The sequence below is a fragment of the Homo sapiens genome, chromosome 18, assembly GCF_000001405.40.
Source record: "Homo sapiens chromosome 18, GRCh38.p14 Primary Assembly".
In the NCBI taxonomy this organism is placed as follows: domain Eukaryota; kingdom Metazoa; phylum Chordata; class Mammalia; order Primates; family Hominidae; genus Homo; species Homo sapiens.
This window is the reverse complement of record NC_000018.10, coordinates 5,209,197-5,223,695: the sequence shown is the minus strand read 5'-3', so window position 1 is coordinate 5,223,695 and position 14,499 is coordinate 5,209,197. Positions and strand designations below refer to the sequence as shown.

Here is a 14,499-nt window from a genome sequence, read left to right as displayed (position 1 = left end):
CATAATTCCACATGAATTAGAGGATTGGCTTTTCCATTTATGCATAAAAGACCACTGGAATTTCGATCAGGATTAGAATAAATGTGTAGATCAATTTGGGACATCATTTGAACAATATTAAGGTTTCCAATTCAGAACATCGTATGGCTTTCCATTTATTTAGATAGTCTTTAATTTTTTCAATAATGTTTTATAGTTTTCAGTGTACCATATCCTTGATTAAATTTATTCCTAGGTTTTTTATTGTTTTGTTTGCCATGGTAAATGTAAATTTCCCCCTTATTTTGTTTGGATTTGCTTTTCAAATTGTGCGTTGCTGGTGTATAAGATACAACTGATTTTTGCATGTTGATCTTGTACCCTGCAACTTTGCTAAATTGATTAACTGTAGTGGCTTTTTTGGGGGGAGGGGGATTTTTGGACCATCTGCAAATACAGATAGTTTTACATCTTTCTTTTCAGTTTGTATTTTTTAATTTATTTTTCTTGCCTCATTTTTCTGGCTGGAACTTCTAGTACAGTGTTGAGTAGAAGTGGTGAAAGCAGCATCTTTATCTTGTTCTTGATACTTGCATGGAAACTTTAGTTGTTCACCACCAAATATGATGATAGCTATGGATTTTTTCATATATGCCTTTTATCAGCTTGAGGAAGTTTCTATTCCTTGTTTATTGTTTGGTTGTTTAAAAATCATAAAAGTGGTTAATCTTGTCAAATGCTTTTCCTGCATCAATTAAGATGATCATGTGATTTTGTTCCTTCATTCCATTAAGATGGTATATTACATTCATTTTCATTTGTTGAACCACCCTTGCATTCTTGGGATAAATCCCACTTTGACATGATGTATAATCTTTTTAATATGCTGCTGGATTCAGTTAGGATTTTGTTGAGAATTTTTATATCTGTATTTAGAAGGGACATTGATCTGTAGTTTTCTTCTTTTCGTATCTTTGTCAGATTTTAATATTAGGGTAATACTGGCCTCATAGAATGAGTTAGGGAGTGTTCCCTCCTGTTCTATTTTTTGGAAGAATTTGAGAAGGATTGGTATTAATTCTTTAAATATTTAGTAGAATTCACCAATGCAGCCATCTGGTCCTGGACTTTTTGGGAGGTTGTATTTTGCTTTATTTTGCTTCTTAAATCACCAATTCAGTTTCTTTACTTGCTATAAGTCTGCTCCGATTTTATATTCCTTCTGGAGTCAGTTTTGATAATTTGTATGTTTCTAGGAATTTATTCATTTCATCCAGGTTATCTAATTTGTTGATGTATAATTATTCATAATATTCTTTTCTAATCATTTTTATTTTTGTAAGGTTGGTAGTAATGTCTCCATTTTCATTTCTGACTTTAGTTATTTGCATCTTCTTCTTGATTTCTTTCTCAGTGTAGCTAATGTTTGTCAATCTTGTTGATTTTTTTCTGGGAAAAAACATTTGGTTTCATTTATTCTCTGTTGTTTTTATATTATCTCTTTAATTTATCTCTGCTGTAATCTTTATATTTCTCTCTGCTATTTTTGGTTTTAATTTGGTCTCCTTATAAAAAATGTTTGAGTATGTATTCTGAACTAAATTATGCTCCCCCATTCATATGTTGAAGTGCTAATCCCCAGTGTGACTGTATTTGAGGATAAATTCATTAGAGAGACAGTCAAGGTTAAATGAAGTAATAAGGGTGGGGCCCTCGTATGATAGGATTGGTGTCCTTATAAGAAGGAGAGACATCAGAGCACTCTCTTGCTCTCTGTGCATGCATGCACAAAGGAAAGGCCATGTGAGAGCACAGTGAGAAGACAGCTGTCTGCAAGCCAGGAAGAAAAGCCTTATCAGAAACCAACTCTGATGGCACCTTGATCTTGGACCTCTGGCCTCCAGAACTGTGAGAAAATTAATTTCTATTATTTAAGATACCCAGTCTGTGGTATTTTGTTATGGTGGTATTAGCAGATGAATACGAGGTGTGAAGTTAAGTTATTGATTTGAGACCTTTCTTCTTTTGTAACATAGGCATTTACTGCTATAAATTTTCCTCTGAGCATTGCGTTTGCTATATCCGATAGGTTTTGTAACATACATCTCTTTTAATAAATTTAACTTGCTTTACTACAACCTCGTTATTGTCCAAGGCAATAGTGTACTAGTATTCAAAAATTTTTTGTCATAAGCCTTTAAAAACATCTTGGAAAGGTAGTAGAACCACACATACATGCACAAAAATTATGGTCCCAGTTCACATTAGTTATAAGCATTTTTTTTTTGCTGGGTAGGAACTACTTGAAAGATATCTTCCTATAGATATACATCCATGAAATATACTCTTGATTGAAGAAAATTTAGAAATGAATATGAAAGGAATGTGTTAGGTTCTCCAGAAAAACCAAACCAATAGGACACACACACACACACACACACACACACACACACACACACACACACACGAGAGAGAGAGAGAGAGATGGGGGAGGGGAAGGGGAAGGGATGGGATATTTTTGTGATCATAGGGACTGAGAAGCTACTGGACAAGCTGGGAGGGTGGAGATTCCAGTAACAGTTGAAGTTGCAGACCTGAGTTTGAAGTCTGAAAATTAGGGCAGAATTTCCATGTTGCAGTCTAGGACAAGAATTTTTCTTTGGAAAGCTTGTCTTGCTCATTGTTTTTAACTGATTGGATGAGACCCTCCCATATTATGGAGGGTAATTTGCTTTACTTAAAGTGATTATAAATGTTAATCACATTTAAAGAAAACCTTTATAGCAACCCATTGAATAGCGTTTGACCATACAACTGGTCATCATAGTCTTGCCAAGTTGACACGTAAAATTAATCATGTAAAAATAAAATGAATAGTATTTGAAGATATTAGAAAGAGAGAAGGCATAAACAAAAGTGGAAATTTATGAGAACTCATCTGAATGTCGGTTTTTAACTCATGATTATTTTAGAAAATAATTTATATCAGGAAGATTTTAAAATAGTTACTTTTTTAGGCATGTAAATTCATAATATACCCCATCTGTGAGGAGTTAGTTATTCAAAATATATTTGAAACTTGCTAAAAGCGATTGTGACAAAAGATGGTGCAACTGTCAAATAAATAGTTGTTTTTGTTCAGAATGCATCTTTTATCAGTTGCTCACTCTGTTTGGGGGATTATTTATAGTGACTCGAATTGTGAGTCAGGATGTAACATGTCCCTTGATGTCACATTAAAAAGACTTGTGAGACTTACAAACTACAGAGACTTGATGAATGGATGACCTCTGGGATTGAAGTAACATTTTAAAATGAGTATCTTTTCCTTGAAGATGTCTTTGGGAGACAGTTCTCCTGCCTCATGGATTTTGCTTTGTTTTGATGTGGGCCCAATACTAATGTATTAGCCCTTTTTGATAGTTTGTCAGTATGTCTCAAGCCCCTATTATGTTCACCAACCATGTGGATTTACTAGGGGCATTAAATGAATAATGCACATGAAAACAACTTTGGAAGGAATAAAAAAAGTAGGTTGATTATACAGGTAAAACCATGTCTTTACCAAAGAGATCATAAAATGTCAGAGAATTTATCAGGAGCCACTGGTAGGTTTTAAAATTTCATACAACATCTAGATGAATTTTGGCATTTTAGGTGGTAAGGATGATTGTGTTGAATTTTAGAGCTTTCATTGTGGGAAGCATTAATGAGTTTATTGAATTCAAAGTTTTATAAAGCAGAGGGAGGCAGTAATATGGCTTATGTGACTGTCAGTTTAACAAAGATGAGTGGTCATTAGACAGAATTCCAAGACCAACACTGTGGTTTATTATATAAAATACTAACCATGAAAGTTTTTGAGAAAGTCTTCTTTTACCATTTGACCTGTCTTTTTTTTTCCCTGCCTTTCTTTAAGTGTTGCTATTCCCCATTCCAGGGCTTTATCTCTTCTTCCTCTATACCCTCTCCCTATATAATTTTAATCAGGACCAGGGCTTCAGTCATTTATATTTCAATAACTTCCAAATCTTTGCTTGTACTGTGGACTACTATTTGTAAATACATGGGTGTGTTCAAAGAATCTTAAACTAAATATGGCCTAGGTTGAACTCTTTACCTCCACATCAGCTTCTGCTCTGAATCTCAATCTTAGTTAGTCTCACCACATCATATTAGTTAAGTTAACCCTAGCTTCTGGGTAAATCCCCAAGACTTAGTGGCTCAACACGGTAGATGTTTGTTTCTTACAAACGTGAAGTCCAGTCAATAAGACCGGGATATGGGCTCTGCTTTCAGGGATCCAGGGTAACAGAAGCTCTTCTTTCATCACTGTGTGCACTGACATCTTGCTGACAGGGGAAGAGAATGGAAGATAGAGTGGGGGAGATTTTTATTGATGAAGACTGGAAGTGGTGCTCATCATTTTTGCTCACATTCCCTTGACTGTAATTCAGTCACATTGCCACACCTAACTGTAAGGGAGGCTGGGATATGTAATCTATCTGTGTGCACAGAAGTCAGAAGGAATGGGTTGGTTGGGAATACAACAATATCTTCCGTAACTCATCTTATCTTTCAAATTAAAAACATTCTCATCGAACACATGGACACATAGAGGGGAAAAATACACACTGGGGCCTACTGGAGAGTGGAGGGTGGGAGGAGGGAGAGGATCAGGAAAAATAGCTAATGGGTACTAGGTTTAATACCCAGGTGATGAAATGATCTGTACAACAAATCCCCACGACAGAAGTTTACCCATGTAACAAATCTGCACAAGTATCCCTGAACTGAAAATAAAAGTTTTTTATAAAAAACTCTTCTCATCTTTGAGTTTTCCTTTTTTAAGCCATTAAATTTGATAAGTTAACCTATATTTCTTACTTTATAACCTTATTGCTGCTATTCTGTTCTGGACCTTGATCATTTCTTCCTCAGACTTTGGAATAGTTTTCAAAATGACACTCTTGATTGTGTTGCCAACACTGTCTTTCATAATACCTAACTAATGATGTCACTCTAATGCTTAAACATGCTTCAGTAGCCTCAGGATAAAACTCTGTGGTAAGGCATCAAAGGTACTCAAATTGTAGGTCCCAGAGTTCTACATGGGGAGCATCTACTTGTTGCTTGTATCATGTCTTTCTCAACGGTCCCTATCGCCTAGAAGAAGAGTTAATTGCTTCTTTCTTACTGTCATTTCATGCCTTCAGAATAAATGTATAGCACATTTCACCAGGTTAGAAACTCCACAAAGGGTAATTCACTGCTATATTTCTAGGGCCTAGAAATCTAGGCACTTAATAAGCCCTCAGTAAGTGTCCAGCAAGCATTGAATGAGCAGATTATAGTTTTTTTGTGAACATATCTGTTTGCCATATTAGATTATATAAAAGTTAAAGATGAAGATTATGCCTATTAATTTCTAAATCCCCTATGTCTGGAACATGGCACATGCTGAATAAATTATTACCAAATTGAGTAAAATAGGTCTTAGAATACAAGAGATACAATTACTGAGAATGGTTGGCTTAAGATGCAGCAAGATGCTTCTGAGGAAAGAAAGCACTGGACATACACATGTAAATGACACCATCACTTGTTTATGAAAATATACTTATGATTTCTAATTATATGCCAAGGTTGTCCTAGGCACTAGAAATGTAGTGATGAATAGAAAAAAGATATAGTTGGTGCTACATGGGAGCTCATGATCCAGATACTGCACACTAAGAGAAAATTAAAATTAAGATAGCATATGATGAGGGATCACACTTCTCTGTAGAGTCAGATAAATGGTCCTGAGAAAAAGACACTTAAGTTGAGATTTGAAGGATGTGAAGGCACTAGCCAGGTGGAAGGGAGAAGACGGGTGATTTCCACAAAGGCAATAGGCAAAGCCTCTTTTGGTCAGAAGAAGCATGGTCACTTGAAAAACTTTGCCCTTTTTGTTCCCTCTGCTCAGGTGTCCATTCTGATTTCTTCTCCACCATTTTTAGGTCTTTTTTTCAAATTTTGCCTTCTCAATGAAGCCTTATCTGAATCTTACTTAAAGTCTCAGACTTCCTTCCAACACACTCTATTCCCTTCCTCCACTTTTTCTCCATACCATTCATCACGGTGAAAAATATATTTTTATGTATTTATGTTTTTGTTGATCTCTCCCCAACTTGACTGTAAACTCTATGTGGGCAGGAGATTTTTATGTTATGTTTACTTTGTATCACCAGCCCTTAGAACAGTACTTGACCCATCATAAGTATTCAATATTTGCTAAATGAATGAATTAATGAATCCATGTGTGCGTAGTGAGTAGGCAATTAGATTTAAAAGTTTGTTGCTCAGAGAAGAGTTCTTCAGTGGAAAAATAAATTAGAAACTTATTGGCATGTAGATAGGTTGACAATGTATCCATGTTGGCCCTGAAAAATCTGGGCATAGTTGCCAATGGTACCCCTCCTTTACTCTTAAAAATGCTCTCTGGCTTGGAAGATTCCTTTAAAAATACATGGTAGTTGAGGCCGGGCGCGGTGGCTCATGCCTGTAATCCCAGCACTTTGGTAGGCCGAGACAGGCAGATCACGAGGTCAGAAGATCGAGACCATCCTGGCTAACACGATGAAACCCCGTCTCTACTAAAAATACAAAAAAATTAGCCAGGCATAGTGGTGGGCTCCTGTAGTCCCAGCTACTCGGGAGGCTGAGGCAGGAGAATGGCGTGAACCCGGGAGGCAGAGCTTGCAGTGAGCCAAGATCGCGCCACTGCCCTCCAGCCTGGGCGACAGAGCGAGACTCCGTCTCAAAAAAAAAAATAAATAATACATGGTAGTTGAAACCATAGGAGTGGATGGAATTGCCTAGAGAAAATATAGAGAATGAAAACAGGAAAGGATCTAGGAAGAGCCCTTAGGTTCTCTCACTTACAAACTCATAAAGGAGAAGGACTGAGAAGAAGCTGTCAGAGGAGAAGGAGGAAAGCCAGAAGAATGTTAAAAAAAGAAAAAAGAAAAAAAAACACAGAGAAAAGAGCAGTTCAAAAAAAGGGGATGGGCCAGGTGCAGTGGCTCATACCTGTAATCTGAGCACTTTGGGAGGTCAAGGTGAGACGATCATTTGAGCCCAGGAGTTCAAGATCGGCCCGAGCAACATAGTGAGACCTCATCTCTACAGAAAATCAAAAAATTAGCTGGGCATGGTGGCATGTGTCTGTGGTCCCAGCTACTTGGGAGGCTGAGGATTTCCTGAGCCCAGGAGGTTGAGGCTGCAGTGAGCCATGGTGGCACCATGGCATTCTGGCCTGGGGAACAGAGCAAGACACCGTCTCAAAAAAACAAAACAAAGCAAACAAACAAACACACACAAAAAAAAACAGGAATAAGGTGGTCAATAGAATCAGTCTATTGAGAGATCAAGTAAGATAAGGACTGAAATAGCTGTTAGATGTCTTGGAAGTCAGTGATAGCTCTTTTGGTGGAATAATTAGGGTAGAAGTCAGATAGATGAAATAAAAGGAAGAGAAATGAGGAATTGAAGGCAGCAAGTTATAGAAAATTCAAATGAATGGGGAGAGAATATACGACAGCTGGGCGTCAAAAGGGAAAGGGAAGTTCTGGATCTTCCATTTAGCAGATTGACTACATGCTTAAGGCATTAGCAAAACAGGAACACCAAAACAACAACAACAACAAAACTTGGAAATAATTTAGTATTTGACAATTTTAAAATGAGGAACTAGAGGAATCTTCATCAAAAACCTCATACTTTAATAGAGCTTTTTCTCAGTTATCTTTATGTTTGAATTACATATGAGAAAGATCATCTCAATACTTAGGTTCTCTGAAGACTCTAATCTGGTCCTGAATATGGTTATAGGTGGGATGAGTGTGGCACTGAGAAAAGTGGTTTTCTGGTTTTGTTTGGAAGATATTTGAGCTTGTTAAACATTGATAGGAAGAATCCAGATGTGGGAGGTCAGCTGAATACACAGGGGAGGGAAGAGGTAATTGACGGTAGTGTGTTATCTGAGAAGGTGGGAAAGGATTGATCTGAGGAGAGATGGAGGACCAATCTGAGGACTGGTTTCTGATAAGAGGAAGGACACCTCTTCTGTTGTAACCGAAAGAATGAAGGAGAAGCTGGTGTGTCTATAGCTGAGTGTAGGGTTGGATATGGGAGGGAAAGTGCTTTTTTTTTTTTTTTTTTTTTGGTGGAGACAGGGTCTTGTTCTGTCACCCAGGCTGGAGCGCAGTAGCGTGATCATGGCTCATTGCAACCTGGACTTCCCAGGTTTGAGTGGTCCTTCCACCTCAGTCTCCTTATAAGCTGGGACAACATGTATGAGCCACCATGGCTGGCTAATTTTTAAAATTTTTTTGTAGAGATGAGATCTCACTCTGTTGTCCAGGCTGGGAAGGGACATTTCTTTCTGAAGTCTTCATTCTCTCTGAGAAGAAGGTAAGACCACCTGAGAGTGAGGAAGGCTTCTACAGCTCAAAGCAGTTAGAAGAACGTGAAAGTCACAAAGGAAACAATGGTAAGGGTTCTTCTGAGGTTAGCTATTATGAATCATCAGTAGACATTTCTTCAGTTACCCAGGTAATTACAGGAAGTAATAGGCTTTTTCTTTGATCAAGTAAAAATCACTGAGCGAAAGGTACTTCAGTGCTTAAGTGTGGCATTACTCAAGTGGCTAAATATCCAGTTCTCTCCCTCTCTCTTTTTTTCTTTTTCTTTATTTTTATATTTTTTTTGGGCTATATAATGGGTCAACAGATGCATGTGAAGAAAACAGTGGGGATAGCTTGGAGACAAATACTCTGGAAGACAGCTTAATGTTTTGTTTTGTTTCTTTTTCAGGAATGAATGAAACTGAATACCTTCTTCTCATAGATAAAGTCCTTCTTGGACTGCATGGGAATCAAGAGATCTGAGTCATAGTTCTGGTTCTGCCACTTGTTAGGTTTCTTTCTCTGGGATTTAGTTTCCTCTTCACAAAGCTGTGAACAGATGATCTTATTCTTCTTCCACTTTTAATATCTCTGAGTCGATGGCATTCTGTCTCTTTTTTGGCTTCTGAGTGACAGGCAGGAATGTAAATCATGGACTTCTTTTTAAAGTTGAAAGTATTCTTGCAGACCATAGGTGTCTGAATTCATGCTCTAATATACTGGGTTTTGAGGTGGCCTGATGAACTGTTGATCTTCTTGCTGGCCAGAGTTTTGAGCCAATCAGGAGATAAGGCAAAGGAGTCAGGCAGACAGATTAAAACACTGTCTTTATTACTGGTAAATCTGATATTGGCAAATGTGTCTTAGAGCTGCAGACAAATGGGCTTTATAATACTGAATTCCAGAATGAGGCAGACTTACCCACCAGAGTCACAGGCAGCACAGAAAATCACATGCTTTGTTATGCTGTCTCTGGTAATTTTCACATAGGGAAGCAGAGCAGAACACAGGCTTTCTGTAGGCAGCCAGCTCCTTAAAGGCAAGGAGAGAAGAAGGAGTGGGACAATCCATGATCAGGTTTTCCTCCAAACTTATCAGTGAATTAAGTTATTCCTTCAGGCAGAAATAAGAAAGAAGCAGAGAGACAGAGGGAGAGAGAGAGAAAAGAGGCAGTGGTATTAAGCTACTTCATTGACTGCTTCTCCTGTCTCCTTTATTGGTTTCTCCTCATCTTCCTAATTTTCAAACACTGGAATATTTCAGATTCAATCCTTAAAACTCTTATTTGTCTTATTCTCTTCCCATTTGCTCTCCTCGAGTCTCATGGCCTTGTCTATGATGATCCCAAAATTATATCTCCAGACTGAAATACTTCTTTGAACTCCAAAACTTCATATTCTTTTAGGTCTTTACTCAAATGTCCTTTTCTCAGCTTTCCCTAACTATCCTATATAAAATATCTGGAACCCTCTACCCAGCACAGTCTATCTCTTTACTCTATTTTCCTCCATAGTACTCTTCACCCCCCGCCCTAATATATTCCTACTACTTGTTTATCCTCCATAGACAATGTCTGTATAATGAAAATTTCATGAAGACAGGGTATAGAAAGTGCCTGGCATATGGTAGTCATTCAATTAATATTGGTTGGTTGACTAAATTAGTAAATGAAAGCTAAGGTGCGTCTCCAACTGGGAAGGAAACATTAAGATTAGGGAAGACGCATCCTCCCTCACAACATCATACCAACAGAGCCTAGGCTGCAAGGCAGTGACTGGGGTACAGTTTGAATTGGGCATTGGGGTAGGGGAGAGACTTGTCCCAGGGGGAAGACAGCTGAGCACCAAGTGTTCAGGGGCGAGACTGAAGTTGAAAATCAGGTAATGGAAGAGGACTTCCACTCAGGCTGGATCCAGGTACAAGGAAACAAAACACTTAGAGGTGCATCTAGTCACCATGCTCAAAGACCACCAGCTAAGACATTTTGGAGAGTTTTCCTTTTTACTCCTTTTTCGCTTGAAGGGAAAAATAAGAAAAAGAAAGAGTGGAACTATCCATGCTCAGGTCCTCACCTAAATTTATGAATCAACAAGTAAGTCGTCCCTTCTCACTGTGATGCCCCTGCCTTTGGGCATAGTAAATTATTTCACCACTTTATTGTGCTTATTATGCTGACATCATTATTCCTTTAAAGTCGCTCTCTTCCACCATAGGGTGAACTTCTTGAGTGCAGAGAGTGCCTTATTCGCATTAGTATTTCCAGGGTTTAGCACAGAGATATTCACAAATGTCATTTAAATGAAAGAATTTTGGGGATTGTATGCTGGAGGGGGAAAAGAAAGTTAAAGGGCAGGAATAGCTCAATCTTGGGCTCAAAGCCTCTATGCGGAAATTCCCAAGAACACAGTAGACCTTTGATTTCCCTAACAGCTTGCAGTTTAAGACTTAGTTAAATTGAAGCATGGGGCTGTTTGCATAGACAGAGGGCCTGCAGAAGAGATAAGATGTGAAGTCTTATTTTAAAGATAGCATCTCACTGGTTTTTGAAAAGAATTATTATTAATATTGTTCGTTATTATTTTACCTCAATACAGATTGATTATCCCTTGTTCAAAATGCTTGGAACCATAACTGCTTCAGAGTTTGGATTTTTTTTTCTGATTTTGGAATATTTTCATGTACATAATGAGATATCTTTTCATGTACATAATGATATTTTCATGTACATAATGAGATATCTTGAGATATTTTCATGTACATAATGAGATATTTTCATGTACATAACGAGATATCATTGGGGATATAAGACCCCAATGTAAACACAAAATTCATTTATATTTCATATATACTATATATATATATATATATATATATATATATATATACCCTTAAGGTAATTTTTATGCAATGTTTTAAATAATTTCATGCATGAAGCAAAGTTTGTGTTAATTCTACTTACGTAGAATTTTCTACTTGTGATGTCATGTGATATGGTTTGGCTGTGTCCCTACCAAATCTCAACTTGAATTGTATCTCCCAGAATTCCCACACGTTGTGGGAGGGACCTAGGGGGAGGTACTTGAATCATAGGGGCCCGTCTTTCCTGTGCTATTTTCATGATAGTGAATACGTCTCATGAGATCTTATGGGTTTATCAGTGGTTTCTGCTTTTGCATATTCCTCATTTTCTCTTGCTGCCACCATGTAAGAAGTCCCTTTCACCCCGCCGCCATGATTCTGAGGCCTCCCCAGCCATGTGGAACTGTAAGTCCAATTAAACCTCTTTTTCTTCCCAGTCTCGGGTATGTCTTTGTCAGCAGCGTGAAAATGGACTAACACCTCATGTCAGTGTTCCAAAAGTTTCCTGTTTTGGAGCATTTTGGATTTTGAATTTTTGGATTAGGGACCATCAACCAGTAGTAGTTTTGGTAAATAGAGAATCTCCTTGACTGGGGGCTAGGATATGTTGTAGCTACAATAAGCCATTGCTTATAATGAGAATTTATTATCTCAAGAGTTCTAGCTGGGGGCCGGGGAAGGGATAATCAATGATGTACATAGTCTAACTCCAGGGATCCAGAGAGGCAGAAGACATTTAAAAGTTCCATTACCAAAACACAGTGTCATCACAGCAAGATTACGGGAATGGACACTATCCTTTCCAAGATGGGCTAAAGATGAAGGTTGTGGTGGTGTAAATGTGAACTCCAAGCAATTGCTGTTCTCTGCCTGGCATTGCAGGACAGTCTTGAAAATATAACATATACCCATATAAGTATGTCTAAACCTGTGAGTTACAATATAGACTCAGTAGACAATAAAATTATGTTGTTCAAAACAAATACCTGAAAATGTTGGTGGTGTTCAGCTTTTCCTCTATGTTGGGTTGCTGTTCATTCAAAATATCAAATATCAGGACCAGAGTCAAATCAATGCTTTTCCATGGACAAAGGCACATGTATCTATGGATATTTGTCTATTAAAGTAAACCTCTACACATTTTTTTTTGCCTGTGATTCTCTAACTTTAACTTATGTAAAACTCATTTCTATAAAATTGAAAGTAACCTGTCCATTGTTTGAATTCTATGGTCTTTCTTTACATGGTTATATGGCATTTAATTCTATTCTGCCCTTCAATATAGTGATTTATATGTATTTCTGTCTCCTTTATTAGATTTTAGTAACCTTGAGGTCAGGGATCCTGTGATCCTGTGTTATTTTTATATCTCGTACAGCAATTAATCTTCTGCCTTGTATATAATATTCAGTAAAGATGTCTCAATGAGAATTTAATGAATAATCTTAAACATCATTTATCCATATAACTTTACAGTGATTACATATTCATTTAGGTTCAACTCATTTTGGTAAGAAGCAGCTTTATGCAGAAAAAAATATTGCATAGATTTTTGGACTTAAGCCTGGTCATAAAACTTGATATTAAATAACAAAAACTACTACTATCTCTGCTATGCTACTAGTACTACTGCCCCTAAGTGCTGTTCATTGAGCAAACACTGTATTTTGTCATTTGTTGCATCACTTAATTTTCTTCCAAACTCTATGTGTTGGCTATTAATTTCCCAATTTTAGCATGTAGAAAATGGGGGCTCAGGAATATGCATTCATTCTCATAGCTAGATATTTAACCCTGTCTTACTCCTAAGTTCTCATTCTTCTATACTACATGGCCCTTTTCTAGTTTGTCATAAAACTAAATTATATTTTCAATGTGTGTCTTCATAATGTGATAAATAATCAACAAATGCTCATTCAAAATGGAAATAAGAATAGTATCCTAAAGAAATGATAAAGTTCAGGCCATAAGTATTGCTTTTCTTAAGCACAAAACCTATACTTATGAATATATAAATATATATTATATTAAAATTTAGTTGAAACATATTTTAGGAAGGTACACAAAAACTTTGGTTTGGCATTTAAATGCTTAGATTAAAACCTGACCTTTGTAATACATTATATTAATTTAAAAGTAAACAAGTATTTCCTCATTGCCTAGAAGGTCTTGGAACCATGGCCTCTGAGGAACATGAAAGAAGGTCCATCAGATACTTTCTAGGAACTTATGATATTGCCAAGGAGATGGCATTCAGATGCAAAAGCATGAGACAAGGAATGGTAGTATGATGGTTAGTTTCATGTGTCAACTTGACTGGATTAAGGGATGCCTGGATAGCTGGTGAAACATTGTTTCTGGGTGTGTCTGTGAGGGTGTTTCTGAAAGAGATGAGCATTTGAATCAGTGGAGTGAGTAAAGCAGATCCACCCTTACCAGTGTGGATGGGCATCATCCGGTCCACTGAGTGCCCAATAAAACAAAAAGGCAGAGGAAGGGAACACTGGTGTTCTGTATTTGAGCTGGGACATTCATCCACTCTTGCTTTTGGACATTGGCATTTCTGGTTCTCAGGCCTTGGAACTTGGACCAAGACTTCACCATTGGCTCCCCTGGTTCTCAGGTCTTCAGGGTTGGACTGAATTATACCACCAGCTCTCCTGGGCCTCCAGCTTGCAGATAATAGATTGCAGGACTTCTCAACCTCCATAAGCATGTGAGACAATTCCCATAATAAACCTCTTTACATATATATACATATATATAAATATATGTATATAATTTTTCTTTTTCTCTGGAGAACCCTAATACAGGGGGATTAGTTGATTAGGGGCCCCAATGAGCCAATGTTCCCAGGGCAATTACATTCTGGTCCCTGCTGGCAGGCAGCAATGCGGTCTGGAGTGTGTGAAAATGGAATCTGAAGAACAGGTAGGATTGTAGTCCACTGGTTACCATGACTACTATTCCAATTCCTCTTGTTAAACATTTATTGTGTTTATTATATATATGTTTATGTATTTTAGCACCTCATCATTTGGAGAGTCAGGGATAAAAGAATAAATATTCTAGGTAGTTAATTCTTACTTATATTTCAGATTTCAGACCAAATGTCAATTATTCAGGTAAGACTTTTCAGTCCCATCTCTCTCTACCCTAGAACTAGGCCCGGTGTCTGGTAATAAGCTCTTTTCAAATACAGTGGCTTTTC

General features: G+C 37.4%; 1 long non-coding RNA gene across 1 annotated transcript, besides 1 other annotated feature; it reads right to left on the bottom strand.

The window, feature by feature from the left end:
* Positions 8,492-9,691: an enhancer, noted in NCBI's record as "BRD4-independent group 4 enhancer chr18:5214004-5215203 (GRCh37/hg19 assembly coordinates)". NCBI's record gives its function as "activates an origin of replication core promoter dependent on BRD2, P300/CBP, MED14 and CDK7 cofactors, and independent of BRD4, by STARR-seq in HCT116 cells {active_cell/tissue: HCT116}" and the evidence as "EXISTENCE:reporter gene assay evidence [ECO:0000049][PMID:35650434]".
* Positions 9,380-13,907, bottom strand: LOC124904341 (uncharacterized). Its single transcript, XR_007066439.1, has 3 exons — positions 13,725-13,907; positions 12,275-12,318; positions 9,380-9,461 (listed from the first exon to the last, which is right to left on the bottom strand). It is a non-coding gene; the product is annotated as an uncharacterized LOC124904341 (long non-coding RNA).
* Positions 13,908-14,499: the final 592 nt, after the last annotated feature.